The 16555-nt window shown below is 42.5% G+C and overlaps 1 protein-coding gene across 15 annotated transcripts in view; it reads right to left on the reverse strand.

Moving 5' to 3' along the window:
• Window positions 1–16555, reverse strand: part of INTS9 (integrator complex subunit 9) — a 122309-nt gene that overhangs the window by 54914 nt on the left and 50840 nt on the right. For all 15 annotated transcript variants that reach the window (NR_026826.3, XM_047421958.1, XM_047421956.1 and 12 more), the window contains 2 exons: window positions 15063–15202; window positions 12718–12804 (listed from right to left, as the gene is read on the reverse strand). Coding sequence is in view for 14 of the 15 variants with exons in the window: in XM_047421958.1 (XP_047277914.1) it covers window positions 12718–12804; window positions 15063–15202 (227 nt within the window). In the remaining variant the exon portion in view is untranslated. The remainder of the gene's footprint in view (window positions 1–12717; window positions 12805–15062; window positions 15203–16555) is intronic.

The raw sequence follows: 16555 nt of genomic DNA on the forward strand, positions 1-16555 counted from the left end.
CTAAGTACTCAGCACATGAATGAAACGGCTTCAGTAAGAACCATCATCATGAACTCAAGGAATAAAGACAAGATTCTAAAAGCTATCATATGGGAATCAAGAGGTACAAACTAAAGATCTAGGTTCAAAATAGCATTGGACATTTCAACAGCACTCCTGGAAGCTAGAAGGAAATATAATGTTTTCAATATTGTAAGAGAAAATTGTATCTAATGTAGATTTCTATCAAATAGTTTGAGGGTTATTTCTACCAAATAGTTTTAGATGTGCAGATCTACTGCCCACCCCACACACTTCCCACACACTCTTTGTGTGGGAAAATTTACTTCCCACACACTCTTTGGCAGGGAGTTACTGGAGGATGTGGCCTGAAAAATGAAGGAGTAAACAAGAAAAAGGAAGATCCAGAAAACAGAATAAAGAAGCAAAGAAGTCTTCGGGATAATGGTGAGGAAAATCCTCAGCTGAAAGCCATGGCATTGGGCCCAAGACAGCTGACATCAGAGAGAGAAGGCTGGGGAGAGGACTTTTCAAGGAGATAAAAGTTGTCAGAATACCTATGGAGACTGAACATGATGGGTGGCAGGATATGCCACCCTACAATATGCCACTTCAGCATAAAGGTTATTTTGAGGTAAAGGCACCTGAAAAACAGCAGGTGCAGGAAGAGCTCTCTGCCCTCCTCTTTTTCTTCCTGAAAGGAGATGACATCCCCATATGGAAGATGTCCTCCATATAGCAGGAGGAAAGTAACATTTTTATCTGTAGGGAAAGGGAATGGAGTTCGAGAAAAACCTGTACCAGCAAACCTTGTTAAACCCTGATCTTCCCAGTCACTTCTCCACCCAATTGACTGCCCTAGCCCAAGTCCCCTTCCCTTGTCACACTTTCCCAATGTCCTGCTCTTTGTCCAACTCGGTGTCTGTGTTCAACTCTAACTGTTCCTTTGGGTCTTCATTCTCCTGTGCAGACTCTTACATATATGTAACTTAATAAAATGTGTGTACCTTTCTTCTGTTAACCTGTTTTATGTCAGTTTAATTCTTAGGCACAACTGGACACCCTAAGAGGGTAGAGGAGAAATTTAATTACTTACAAACATATTGAGGAGAGACAAGTAGGGAAAGAGTATAGAGACAATAGGTACATAAAACAACTAGACAAATAAGAAAACAAGGTAATTAACTCAAGGGAAAACAAAAAGTTGCACAAGATAGAAAAAATAATCCTAATAATCTTATATGGCCGGTGAATTGCATTTATACAGCCATAATAATGGAAACACTGAATTAAGATTTAACCAGAGTAGCACATATGTCAAATCGTTCCTATGCTTTTTACCCTTGTTTCTTTAGCAACAAAATATCAATGATCCATTTTCATTACCTTCTACATAAACAGATACATGAAGATTTTCTTATTCACTTTCTTAGGTACACATAGTGAACTGCTTTAGGTTTTGCAATATTTATTCTATACATATTTACTGAGCACTGACTGTGGTCTCAGGACTTAAGTCACATAAGGGGAATGACACGCATAATATAGGGCTTCTGTTCACACTGTGCTTAAGTCTAAGAAAAATTTAATAGTACAGGGCAACAGGATGCCAAAAGCCTCGAGTCATCCTTGCCTACAGGCTGGCCTTCCCTCCCAGAAGGGCCTCAACAATACACTACAAATGCAAATCTCAAGATCTTATGCACACCTCCTCTCCTCCTTCCCCCAACTTTAATGATTCACCAATACATTGAGGATAAAATCCAAGGCTCTCAGCATGACTTCCTAAGGCCCTTCTTTATCTGGGTGCTGCTTCTGCCTGTACTGTCTATACTGGGCTTTTCTAGTGCAAGGCCCTGCCTGCCTGCACCCCACCTACCTAAGTCCCTCTGTCTTCTACATTTTGAGTGGACAACACTTACTTGCTCTTGCTTAAAACCTAAACACACTTGTCACTTTCTCTCAGATCTTGTGACCCCAGTCTAGGCCAGGTGCTCACTCACGTGCTCTTTGGGAAGGCTGGCTGGCCCTGAGTCTGGCAGGAGTACAGGGAAGTGGCACAGAAGCCCACTTTGGACTGAGGCCGCCGCAGGGGCTGCTGCTCCTGCATCTGTTACCTCCACATCCCCATAACTCACGACTGCCTGCTTTGAGGAAGGAGAGATTTCTCTCAGAGGCACTAGGAAATAATGGAAAAAAGAGAATTTACAACCAGAGAAGTCTAGGTTTACATCTGGGAGTTAGCTCTTCACCTCCAAGCCTCAGTTTCCTCATCTATAAAATGGAGAGAATACTACCTTCCTTTGAGAGTTTCTCTGCAATGGGGAAATGATATATAATATAATGCATGTGAAATGTCTGGTGCAGAAGAGATGCTGAGTCAAGGTTTGTCTCCAGCCCTGCTCCAACACAGCCCCAGAAGCACATGCATTTCCCTACAATACTGCAGTGGACTCCACCCCAGGGTGATTGACTCTGACGAGCAGCAACGATTCTGAACTTGACAGGACTCAAGGAAAAACCCAAGGTTCTACCTAGCTTTGACTCCTCCTTTAAGTTCTCAGGATCAGGCAGCCCTGGGGCTTGAACCTCCTGGGGCTGCCCTGCACAGAAAATGAAGACCTCTCACTCTGGGCCCGGTAGGAGCCAAGGAGTTTCTTGACTTAATAATGCCAGAGCTGGAAGGCTGTCATGGGAGTGGCTAGAGAGCAGGGACCGTGATGGATAATGATGAATAACACTTGCAACCCCAAGCACATCTCTCCATTCAGCTGAATTTCTTTCACATTGTCCCCAGCTTTGCCAGGGCCCTGCAACAGTCATTTCTTTTAAAGGCTGACTAGAAAGTCACACACAAGGCCAGAACTATACCTGCTTTCTTTCTGCGATTTTCCTTACCCATTATTTGACAACCAGTACTGCCATTACCCAGAACACCATACCACGTGGGCTTTCCTTCCTGCTAGCTCTGTCTTCTCTTGATGGCCCTTCCCAGCACAGCCTCCCCTTTCCATCTAGGACAACGTCCTGTGAAAATTCAGCAAGATTAAGAACTGGAACAGCCTTGCTCAAAAAGAGGCTTTGGTCACTTTAATATTTTCACTGTGTGCTGGAGATGAAACAGTCTTATATTCACCCTATTGAGTACTAGCAGCGTTCTGACCAAGCCCTTAGAAGGGAAAGTGGAAAGCATGAAGATGCAAAGCATCTACAACTTTTGTCCTCAATAACCCAGAACTTATTTCTAGAGAAATTACTGGTGTTTCAAGTAGGGACACAATTTACTTAAGCAAAACAAAAGGCTCCTGAAGATCCAGGTATATTTCAGCCTGAATCTTTCCCATCTTTCCTTTTAAAGTAAATGGCATGGAAATCATAAACTTACGTTCTACAATCAGAATGATGACAGAAACATCAGTATGCATGGGCCAGTAGTGAGCATTAAACATACAGCTACTAGTAGCTGACAGAAGAAAGCATTTGTTTATACAGAAATTTTCACTACAGATGATTTTTGCTAATCAGATACATAGAACACTGTATTTAGAAGAACAGTCTTGTTAAATATGCCTTTTGTTTTGTATTTTATTAATACCCACTGAAAAGAGTAATGTGTATCTTTTTTCCTATTGTATCATATGATTCACACAGCAACACTTTTTTCATTTTTGTCTCCTCAGCACTGAGCATAGTGCCCAATATAAATGACACTCAAAAGAAAAAAAGTTCAGTTGCTATCCCAGGAAAAAAAAGAACCAGCAATGCAATTATCAACGTGTCCCGTCTGAACTGCACCATGTTTGGGTAGAGGTGAGCCCTCTAACTGTGAGAGGTGGTGAAAAAAATCAAGGAGGAGCTCAGGGGTAACCCGGAGGAGGAAAGCCAAGCCGTCCCACTGCCTCTGGTCCAGTCTGACCTGCCCGGTTCAGGGTTTTGTGGCAGGCGCTTCTGCCATGGCTCCAAGTGACCCCTACCCACAGGATTCACCCCCTTGTGGAATCCTCTCCTCCTGAGTGTGAGGTAGATCAAGTGGCTTGCTGCTAACATGACAAAGATGATGATGGGCTGTCACTTCAGTGATTAGGTTACAAAAGACTAGGACTTCTATCTTGCTCGCTTTCTTGCCTGCTTGGAATGGTCTCTTTTTCCTCATTCAAACCCTACTCAATCTGCCTAGCCCAGCCTAAGTCTTGCCATTTGGCATCTATTTTTTTGCTTGACAAGCTCCTTGAGTAGAGCGACTAAATCTTAAACTTTTTTGGGCATTTTTCTACAAACTTAGAATACCAGGCATTTGGTAGTTACTCAACAAGTAAGTGAAGTTCTCTGAATTTCATATTTCTGCCCACAAAGTCCTTTTGCTGACATCCTCTTTTATTCTTTCTAGATATTTAGTTACTTTGTTGTGCTTCCTCTATCTCCTAACACATCTTGTCTAACTTAGCTTTCCCAGAAACTCTCCTTATGCTTACTTGAGGTCCTAATTACAGAGAGGCATTTATAGAGCCATTTAAAGCCATTAGGATTATTGGCTGATTTTGGATAAGAAGGATAAGGAAACCCAGAGGGAACTAGTTCTGTTTTTTCTGGCTTTCTAATTTATCAAAGTCAAGTTCTCAGAGTCTAAATGTTTCATAAGTACTTTCTAAAGGATTTCATTGTTTTGCTTTGTTCTTACCACACTTGAGTGCCTGAAGAACTTCTTTCCCAGGGCTCTGACATGATGCCAAAGCTCTGCGGCCTCTTCCTTCATCCTGCCAGCAAAAGCAGCACACTTTTGTGTTTTTATTAAATATTAAAACTTTTAAGTCCAGAAGGACCACTTGGAAGGTGGTAAGTAAAAAACTGGCTGGGCATTAAGTGTATGTTGAATGAATAAATGAATGAATAAGTGAATGAACAAAATTAATGTAAGGACAGAATACAAAGAAGATAGGAATCAGGAAAGTTCCCTGCCTGACTCTCATCACAGCAAAGGGCTTAACATGCCTGTGGGGGCTAGGGTAGACTGGGCATGTTGGCAGAATAAGGACACATATGGAGTTTCTGGAGCCTCAAAATGAAGTATGTTTCAATATTAACCAGAAACTAGGTTACAACCCCTGATGTTTATTTTAGATCAAATTATTGCTTAAAAAAATGGCAATTGCTTAGGCTACCAAAGCATGACAGGAACGACTCTTGAGAGCAACTCAACTATCTTTGCTCTAATCCTATGCTCATGGAAAAATTTCTTATCCATAATTTGAGGTCTTAAGTGGACTTCCTGGCCAGCATAGAGTGTCCTGGATAGAGAAGCCACTCTAGTTCTGGAGCCACTCAGAGGTCTTACTTTAAAGTGATTAATTGGGATTTTTGTTTGTCACTCAACATCCTGGGAGTCTGGTGAGCATGAATCAGTCCCTCAGAGGCTAATCAACTCCGAGTGAAATGAAACGGTGAAGTGACCAGAATCGCAAAGCCCAACCAGCTGTGATTACTCCGTCAAAGCACTGCCGCTCTCTGAGGGCCTGCCTTAAGGAGCCTCTCTCTGGACATCTTTTAGAACTCTAACACAAGTGGACTTAGAGATAATTTAATTCTTATTTTACAGAAAAGGAGATTGAGTCTGAGAGTCTGAGTGACAGTGACAACTAACTACAGGTAACAGTGGAATTTGAAAACAGTTTTCCTTCTGTCCACTTAGCTACCTTGCTTTCGTCAGAAAGGCAGTGTCTGAAAGTAAATTAGGCTGCAGAAGACAGATGTATTCTAGTTAACAAAAGCAGATTATGTAAGCCACGTATCTTATTAAAAGAGACAAGGACACTGGCATTTATTGAGCACCTACTGTGTGACTGGCATTGTTTTAAGAACTTAATCATACCACTCATTTAGTCCTTACAACAATCCTATTAAGTTGTTAATATCACTTCTATTTTATGAAGGAGGAAACAGAGCCTAGAAGAAATAAGTTGCCACAACTACCAAGAAACAGATCTGAAATTCAAATACCAGTCTATTTGACCTCCGAGCACACACTTCTATCTTCTCTTCCTATCATAGAGTTAGTTGATAAATTCCTGTATGCATACCCAAGGAGCGTCAGAGCGGAGGAACTTCAACTTGAACATGCATGGTTTTAAGTCTTTTTTTTTTTTTGAGATGGAGTTTTGCTCTTGTTGCCCAGACTGGAGTGCAATGGCACGATCTCGGCTCACCGCAACTTCCACCTCCCAGGTTCAAGCGATTCTCCTGCCTCAGCTCCCACGTAGCTGGGATTATAGGTATGACTAATTTTGTATTTTTAGTAGAGACGGGGTTTCACCATATTGGTCACACTGGTCTTGAACTCCTGACCTCAGGTGATCCACCAGCCTTGGCCCCCCAAAGTGCTGAGATTATAGGCATGAGCCACCACGCCCAGCCAGTTTTCTTTTAAGTCTTCCGTAAGGTATGAAGCCACATTTTAAGTTGTAAGTATTAAAAAGTGCCATAAAAATTCAGCCAAGACTATATCAATGCTTCATTGCTTAATGCTTGCATGAGGATGACAATATCTTGTAATGATTTATCCTTATTGTAATTATAGATTTCTAACCTTATAAAAAATATTAGTTTTATACAAAAAAAGTACTAGAGGTGGGGTTACTTTCTTAAGTGGAATATCTTGCTTTACATTTTCCCATTAAAAACCTAAACTTAAGTGAGTGTGGGAAAGTCAGAGACCCAGAATTACATTGTGAGGGATTCTCCTTTTCCTTCCCTTCAAAATCCATCTCTTTTTCAAGAGTAAACTGCAATGTCAAAGTTAGGAAGAAGGATGACTTAACTTCTTTGATATAAATCTCAAGGAGCACTGTCAACTGAGGCAGGAAGTTACACAGCTGCCAAAAAGTAGGAGTAATAGTTTTTTTTTGGTACGTGTACTAATAATAAATCAAATGCTAATTCAAGCTAACTTCAAATGATTTATGAGAATTTGTCAGATTCTTCTGAGTTTGAAAGTTTCTAATTTACTGTTTTCTTTAGTTGATAGTTTTATTAGTAATGTAAGCTACTAAGATGTATTAATTCTAGGCACTTGACAAGATCTGCTTTGAGGCTGCCTATATATAGTATAATTCAAAAATTAGGGGCTCAAGCCTCAAATCGAATACCTCTCAAAGTACCTCTCTAAGAGCTACTTTGCTCAGATCATACGGGATTTGATTCTAATGTAGAAGCCAACATTTCTAAAAAGATTTTTTAAAAGTCACATTTACAACATCTAGACTTTGAGCTTCTAAGGAAGGCTTGGCAGCTGTGGGCTCACATTCCCATATGGCCACGATCGCTGGAGCTACGAGTCAGCTGCCCCTATACAGAGGTGTGGTCACCGGTCCACATTTTCCACCAGCCCATCTCACTCCTGTGTGTACCTTCCCCAGCCCTGTAGGCATTGTAGACCTGTGATCCCTACTTTGGAAGACCTGGACAGGCAAAGCACAAGAATGAAGAAAAAAAAAAAAGAGTGAAAACATACAGAGAAGACAGATAGAGGCTATATAATGGGAAAAATTTCCGTGAACTAGATAGCAAAAAGCAGCGTTTGTCAATGTAGCATGCTGCAGTAGTTTGGGACATTAGATATTAACTAGCTTGTGATAGAGATAAATCTAAAGGTGATGTAAATCCCTTAGCACAAACATTACCCAAATGCAGCACTTTTAGAACTCTGGTCCAAGATTAAATTCTAGGTGAATATTTTAAAAGAACTCTTTCATTTGATGCCAATTAAAGAATAAATAGCTCTTCAGGCCAGGCATGGTGGCTCATGCCTATAATCCCAGCACTTTGGGAGGCTGAGGTGGGCGGATCACTTGAGGTCAGGAGTTTGAGACCAACCTGGCCAACAAGGTGAAACCCAAAAAATACAAAAATTAGCGGGCATGGTGGTGGGCATCTCTAGTCCCAGCTACTCAGCAGGTTGATACGGGAGAATCGCTTGAACCCCGGGAGGTGAAGGCTGCAGTGAGCTGACATCGCATCACTGTACTGCAGCCTGGGTGACAGAGTGAGACCCTGTCTCAAAAAATTAAAAAAAAAAAAAAAAAAGCTCTTCAAATTCTTCTACCACTTCTAGTATTTATGCTGAGTTTATCTAGGAGAAAAAGAGGACACAGCTATGGAGTGTCTCTTTCACACCTCAGTATGTTTTCCAATAATTAGACTCTTCCCTTTCTCTACCAATAACTATGGCTCATCTCATGCTCAAAAATCAAAACACAATCATTGGCCAGGATGAGAATCAAAGATGGCCTTCTCCAATAGCGCAAGTTACTACTCTCCTTGCTCCTCTACCAAGTTAGTCTCAACAGTTTCTGATTTTTGCCCACCAGGTGGGCAAATATATTTCAACTAGCAGCTTCTTTTAAAAGGGAGATTTCCATTCTATTATAAAGATACATGCAAGTGTATGTTCATTGCAGCCCTATTCACAATAGCAAAGATATGGACTCAACCAAAATGCCCATCAATGACAGACTGGATTAAAAAAATGTGGTACCTATACACCATGGAATACTATGCAGCCATAAAAAGGAATGAGATCATGTCTGTTGTAGGGACATAGATGGAGCTGAAGCCATTATCCTCAGCAAACTAACATAGGAACAGAAAACCAAACACCGCGTGTTCTCACTTTTAAGTGGGAGCTGAACGAGAACACATGAACACAGGCAGGGGAACAACACACACTGGGGCCTCTCAGGGAGTGTGCGGGGGAAGGGGGAGCATTGAGATAAACAGCTAATGCATATGGGGCTTAACACCTAGGTGAAGGGTTGATAGGTGCAGCAAACCACCATGGCACATGTTTACCTATGTAACAAAACTGCATGTCCCACACACCTATCCCAGAACTTAAATTTTTTTTAAAAAGGGAGCTTTCCTCTGCATCTTAGGAAATACCTTTCAGGCCCCTCCCTAGCCTTCTCCTCCTTTAGCCTCATTCATACTCTCCGTAATGTAGGTGGCACTTCTTTTGTGTGGCCAAATGGGAGGCAAAGGCAAAATGCTGAGGACTTTGTCCAAGGTCACAAGAGAAAAGGTGAAATAAGGATTTGGGGCTTCCTAAGACTTGACCCAAGATTTGGGAGTCAGGAAATATTGCCCTTTTTTTTAGACAGAGTCTCGCTCTGTCCCCCAGGCTGGAGTGCAGTGGCGTGATCTTAGCTCACTGCAACCTCTGCCTCCCAGGTTCAAGCGACTCTCCTGCCTTAGCCTTCTGAGTAGCTGGAACTACAGGTGCCCACCACTACGCCTGGCTAATTTTTTTTTGTATTTTTGGTAGAGATGGGGGGTTTCACCATATTGGCCAGGCTGGTCTTGAACTCCTGACCTCAAGTGATCTGCCCGCATCAGCCTCCCAAAGTGATGGGATTACAGGCCTGAGCCACTGCACCTGGCCAAGAAATACTGACTTTAGAACACTATTTGTGGTGTGCCAAAATTATTTGCAGCAAATCACTATAAAGGGTTTACATTTAAGAGGAAGAAGGGAAGCCAGAGCACACATGTTCCATGGGAAAGAAAACAAAGTCCTGAGGTTTCTAAGAGGGAGATGTAGGGAACTGGGGTCCTGTCCAGTCCAGTGGGCACACAGGAGAGAAAAGAAAAGAAGGGAGGTATCAGAACCGAGGGCAAGAGAAAAGGGAGCTGGGAACAAGAATGTGGTACTGCACCAGGGCAGTCAGATCAAGGAGGCCATTCACATACACACCAAAGACTTATAAATGCACATGTCCAGAAAATGTTTCCTAATGTGAAGCCACGCCCACACCATACATCCCCAAACAAGGAAACAGACATTCAAAAGATCCTTAAAACACAGGAGAAAGTGTGCACAGATAAGCCTACTTCCTCGTCCCCTGACACAAGAAGCGGCTGACACGCACATGAGAAGAGGCATGTGTGTGTGCATAAGAGGTGGCCCAGCAAATGGGTTAGGAGTATGGACCCTGCAGCCAGGCTAGCTGGCTGTCTGGGTTTGAATCCAGATCCTGCCACTCACTAGCTGTGCGACCTTGGGCAAGTTACTTAATCTCTCTGTGTCAGTTTTCTCTCCTGTAAAAAAGTAATAACACTGCCTGGGTGTGGTGGCTCATGCCTGTAATCCCAACACTTTGGGAGGCTGAGGTGGGCAGATCACGAAGTCAGGAGTTCAAGACCAGTCTGGCCAATATGGTGAAACCCCATCTCTACTAAAAATACAAAAATTAGCTGGGCATGGTGGCGCTCACCTGTGGTCCCAGCTACTTGGGAGCCTGAGGCAGAAGAATTGCCTGAACCTTGGGAGGCAGGGGTTGCAGTGAGCCGAAATTGCACCACTGCACTCCAGCCTGGGAGACAGAGCGAAACTCCATCTCAAAAAAAAAAGGAGTAACACCACTACCTACCTATCTACCTATTTATTAAAGGAATAAATAAATTAACACATTTAGAAGGTGCCTGGCACACAAGTGTTACATAAGTAAAATAAATAACATGTGTACAAAGGAATGCACGGAGGAGACTCATGCTCAAGCTCCGAAATAGTCACTATAGAAAAAGTGTATTCCTCTAGCTACATATTTATATTCTAATCAAAAGAAGATCTGCAAAAACTAAGACATTCTAATGTTGAAATAAGCAGATGACTACAAATCACTGATCTAGAGGGAAAGAGAAATCAGTGCCAACTGGAAAAAAGTGGACATGGGTAGGAGCATATGGAACGTAAACTGCCTAAGAAATTATAAGACTATGCCGGGTGCAGTGGCTCACACCTGTAATCCCAGCACTTTGGGAGGTCGAGGTGGGTGGATGGTGAGGTCAAGAGATCAAGACCGTCCTGGCCAACATGGTGAAACCCCATCTCTACTAAAAATACAAAAATTAGCTGGGTGTGGTTGCACACACCTGCAGTCCCAGCTACTCGGGAGCCTGAGGCACGAGAATCGCTTGAACCCTGGAGGTGGAGGTTGCAGTGAGCCAAGATCGCACCACTGCACTCCAGCCTGGGCGACAGAGTTAGACTCTGTCTCAAAAACAAAAACAAAAACAAAAACAAAAACCAAAAAAAAAACAAAAGAAAAAGAAAAAGAAAAAAAAAAAGAAATCAAAAGACTAGTTTTTACTCCAGACTTGACGCCACCATCAGAAGGTGTGGCTGCTGTGGGGCCTGGAGATGAAGGCAGAATTGCTAAGGTTAGAGAAAGCCCAGTGTGTTAATATCCACAGGGGTACTCTGTTGCCAATTTAAATAAGAGATCATGGAAGTGGAATCAAGCTGCTGCTTCTACCATGTTTCTCCTTACTTCATCTCTTTCAGCCTGGTTTCTGGACCTAGCACTCTACGGCAACTCACCTCTCCGGGATTGTTAAGGACTTCCCCATTCCCATAGCCAAGGGCCTTATCTCCATTTTACTTGATATTTCTGCAGCATCTGAGACCAGCAACAACCTGTGTTTTCTGAAACTTCCTTGTCCCTTGGTTCCCACTCAGCTCTCCTCTTACCTTCTTAATTACTACAGCCTCTTTTACAACTCTTACCAGTTCTTTTCAATTCTATCTCAGAAATTCATTTGAAGTTAGACTTCAGCTTCATGCTCACGGATACTGCCTTAGATCAAGGCTTTGTCATCTCCCCTGGGTTTCAGCAGTCACACTGCTGGTCCTCCTGCCTACCTCTGCATTCCTGTCCATCCTTTACGCTGCTTCCAGAGTTACTTTCCCCAAAACAAACGTAGTCATTAGCCTCCTTATAAACCTCCACTGGCCAACTTCACACTCTCAACAATATAAAACTCAAACTTCACATATGAGAATCTTCATTCTCTTGCTCCAACTCACCCCTTTACTTGCACCTCTCACCTCTCTACTCACCCTAATCCACACTGAACATCTCACTGTTCCCTGAATATACTATGTCCCATGACGCCATGCCTGGACTTCTCTTCTCAACCTCTGCTATAGGAACAAATCCATTTCTTCTTCCAAGACCCATCTTAACTGTCATCTCCTAAGGAATGTCCTTCTCAGCCTTCCTAAGCAGAGTTCTTCAGTTTCTGAGTGCCTACAGCACTGGGGGCAAACATCTGTTTTTTTTTTTTTTTTTGAGACAGAGTTTCACTCTTGTTGCCCAGGCTGGAGTGCAATGGTGCAATCTCAGCTCACTGAAACCTCTGCCTCCCGGGTTCAAGCAATTCTCCTGCCTCAGCCTCCCGAGTAGCTGTGATTACAGGCATGTGCTACCACCCAGCTAATTTTTTTGCATTTTTCATAGAGACGGGGTTTCTCCATGTTGGTCAGGCTGGTCTCAAACTCCCAAACTCAGGTGATCTGCCCATCTCGGCCTCCCAAAGTGCTGGGATTACAGGCGTGAGTCACCGCGCCTAGCTGGCAAACACCTCTTCTAAGACATGCCATGCAAACTGTTAACTGACCTGTTGAGTTATCTGATTTTCCATTAAACTTTGACCACCTCAAGAGCCAATTGTTCCTAAAAACTCTGGTACCCAGCATAGCACCTTGCACATAGTTGCCTCTCAAAAAATGTTGGTTGAATCAAATATAACCCTTTCATGTATTAGGAAAAAGAGAATCTTTAATATAACCAAATCATTGTTTAAGCATAGAGGAAGAAATCAAATGAGACTGCTTTGCAAAGCACCTGGCTCTACAGTCTCTCGGTAAGAGAGTGGTCTGTTCCTCACCTCTGAATGTCCTTATTCTTCCACAAGGAGGCAGACTGAGCCTTTGGCACTCTTTCAATGAAATTCACCAGCTCTTCCATGAGAAGCCTGAGTTTAAACAAAACAAGTGAGGAACACCCATTAAAAAATTAGAGAAACACCCCATACTCTAACAGTTGGCCAGGAGAAATGACTTGCCCACCTCCCCCTACACCATTTCATCATCATCTTCCTCTCTGCTGCACATAAACTTGATCACCATTTGATATAAAGTTAAACAAAATCCTCACTTTCTTATTGCATTTCCATGCTAAAAATTCTGAACTTAAATAATTTAATTCACCTTTAAAACAAGGCTGGCCTGTTTCTTGTCTCTAATCATAGAAATCCACAAGCCTGTTTTAACTCTCACTCTAAGATCTCTACTTTTATGTTACTGAAAATATATAGGGAGAAGTTAAATGACTGTCAGGTATCTAATTTTGGTGACGTAGTAGGGTGTGGGCAGGACTGTTTTTTTTTAAATGACAATATTAAGTGAACTTTTTTTTTTTTGAGACAGAGTTTCGTTCTTGTTGCCCAGGCTAGACTGCAATGGCACAATCTCAGCTCACTACAATCTCCGCCTCCCGGGTTCAAGGGATTCTCCTGCCTCAGCCACTCGAGTAGCTGGGATTACAGGCACACACCACCATGCCCAGCTAATTTTTTGTATTTTTAGTAGAGACGGGGTTTCACTATGTTGGCCAGGCTGGTCTTGAACTCCTGACCTCAGGTGATCCACCCGCCTCGGCCTCCCAAAGTGCTGGGGGATTACAGGCATGAGCCACCGTGGCCAGCCTAAATGAACATTTTAAATGGATAAAATAAGTTTTCTTGATATGTTTTAGGAATTAGCAAAATTCCATGTGGAAGAATACTCCAAGGACAAATGGAGTACGCTGCTAAATGCAGAAGACTAGCTCTCTCTGAGATGAGACGGAGTACCACAGAACCAGGGATGAGGAATCTAAGAAATGCTGCGCTATCAGTTAGATCAAGGTACACAGGCTTTGGGGATTCACAGGACAGAGAACTGCGGGAATTCTTGATGGCCAGAGGATGACCACAAAGGTAGAAATGGATTTGACACCTTGAATCTCCATTCCTAATCTAATATTCGTGATCCATATTGACTTAAATCCCCTCCAAGTTAACATATACATACTGGTAAGCCATTAATGTATTAGCATTTGAAAACTAAACAACTTCATTTCATTCTCATTTATTTATTTTGGCCTAATACCATCTCCTCCTTCCATCTTGAAGGAAGAGTGCTAATTTCAACATCTCAAGACCTGTGATTCAGGCTCACTGGTGTCCTGGATGTAGCTTTCATAGGAACAGTTTGGTGTGCTGATCCTCACTGCTTTAACTTTTCCAGACTAGAGGCTAGTTTTTTAGCTTATCCTCTCAATTGAAACCAGTGCATCACTTCGAGTGTTTTACTTTCCTATGAGAGCCCTTCCTCAGCTCCCTAATGGTTACATACACAGTGCAGGTAATATGGTTTGACATAAAAACAAGAAAACACATTATTTCATCTGCAAGGCTCTAGAATCCAACCTAGGAGTCTATAGCAATTCTTAAGTCTCACATTTTGGAACCTGACAGTTTCAACTTATACCGTACTTATTAATTTATTTCAAAAAAAATAAATTGACAAATTTTTTTTTCTGGAGTAATTTTCTTTACCTAATTCCTCACTAAATGATACTATTGCTACTTGTGGTAACCACCTGTGTCACAAAGGCTTAGTAGAAGCAGAGAAAGGGATGGCAGAGGCTTCTTAGAGTCAAAGGAAAACTGCAGTTTTACTCCTAGACTGCTCAGTTTCACTCTGTCAACAGCAGAGACAACTTAACCATCTATTTACTTATCTATCCTGTATTTTCTACAAGCTGTCTCCATTTATAGTCTACAACAAACCACAAAAAGGGGGAATTTTTGAAAGCAAAGCAATAAAATTTCTTCTTCTTAAAGATGCTACACTCTTTCCCTCTGAAGCTCTCTGCCTTGCATCTTTGTGGCATCTTTCTAAACATTACCTCCCCTAATTAGTATTCTCTGTACAGAGGAGCCGTCTCCATGAACTCCTTCCAATTAATTTATAAGAAAAAAGACCAACAAGACTACTTGCACCATCAATCCTTAGGCATTTCCAATGAACATTCCTCATCTAGAGAGTCGCTTACTCCTGCCTGTTCTTTGGGTTAGTTGTTCAGAAGGAACTAACCACCAGCCCTGGTATAATACTGTGATAGCGTCATCACTGAGGGAGGAGCTCCGCAGTCACATCCTAGCAGGGTCAGAATCAACCCTCTCACCTGCCGATCTGGACGGTGGGTTCCGTGGCATACACTGTGCCTGTGAAGCCGGTGTGCTCGGTGATGTATGGCAGCGCCATCATACAGTGATAGTTAGAGATGAGAATCACATCTACTGTAGACAGATCTATTAGCTCCGTCTGAAAAGAAAGGGAGGGAATGATATATATCTGTTCAGGGATCGATCAATATGATGTGACTAAAAAACGACGTTGTCAGAATGCAGAGAAGTAGTTTTTGTATTGCAGAATAATGATGGCTTTCCTGCAACACTGCCATTCTCTCATTTGAAGAGGTTTTCTACACTGACATTAAGTAGCAGGACAGGACGGCCAGCAGTGAGAACACAGCCAGCCCAGAGGCAGCACTCTGATTTTACTAGAACAGAATTCTTCTGAATTAGACTTATGAGGTTAAATGACAGCAGGACCCTTCGGCAGCTGCTGCCAGGCAAGTGAAACCAGGAAACTGCAAGCAGAGAGAGCAGCATACAGGCGGCAAGCACACACTAGAACATAACACCCCATTGCTACAGATTAATGGGCAACGGGGACGCAGCACACAGAAACCAGCTCTTCAAAAGCCAGATGGAGAGACAACTTGTTTTGCTTTTTTTTTTCTTTTGAGGTAACTTTTGTTAGTTTAGTGCTGGTTATAGAGCCCGCCCTAAAAAGCGTAGTGGCAGTCATGAAAGGAAATTATCCTTTCACCCTCCATCCTAATCTTATCCCCAGATCTGCCCTTTTAAGTCCATCATTAAGGTCATGTAAAAAGGGAGAAAAGACAGGTTAGCATGTGAGGGAAAAGGCTATCCAAGTTTGGGTAAATTTTAGGAAAACTCCTAAAATTTTTCCATATATTTAAGTCCTACCAATCTGTCAAGACGCAATTCTCTTCTTCCACTAGGTCTTCCTGATTTGCTCAGATGAAAGAAACCACATCTTCCTCAGAACTCCCAAAGTATTGCATGTGTAACTCAATTTTTAACTTTTTATTTCTTTTTGAGACAGAGTAGCTGGGATTACAGGTGTGCCCTACCATGCCTGGCTAATTTTTGTATTTTTAGTAGAGATGGGTTTTCACCATGTTGGCCAAGCTGGTCTCAAACTCCCGGCCTCAAGTGATCTGCCTGCCTCAGCCTTCCAAAATGCTGGGATTACACCAAGCCACCAAGCCCGGTCTGTCTGTGTAACTCTTATGACAGTTCACAATCTACACACAACACCTCAAAGTAGCACTTTGTCCTGTGTGACTCCTCTGTCCCCTCCCACCTGTGGCAGCCAGTACCTAACAAGCCTTGGTGTGCTTCTGTTGAAGGAATGCAGCTTTATTAGCAGCATGTTCTGGGAGAAGTGAGACACCATGGTTCAGAGACAACCTGTCACTCACAGGGCCCTCCACCGTGGAGGAGCTAACCCTGGGAAATATACGGTGCACTAAGGAAAAGCAAGTGACTCGGTTAAGAGATGGGTCCTTGAGATAATACATCCCCA

This window comes from Homo sapiens, chromosome 8, assembly GCF_000001405.40.
Source record: "Homo sapiens chromosome 8, GRCh38.p14 Primary Assembly".
Lineage (NCBI taxonomy): Eukaryota > Metazoa > Chordata > Mammalia > Primates > Hominidae > Homo > Homo sapiens.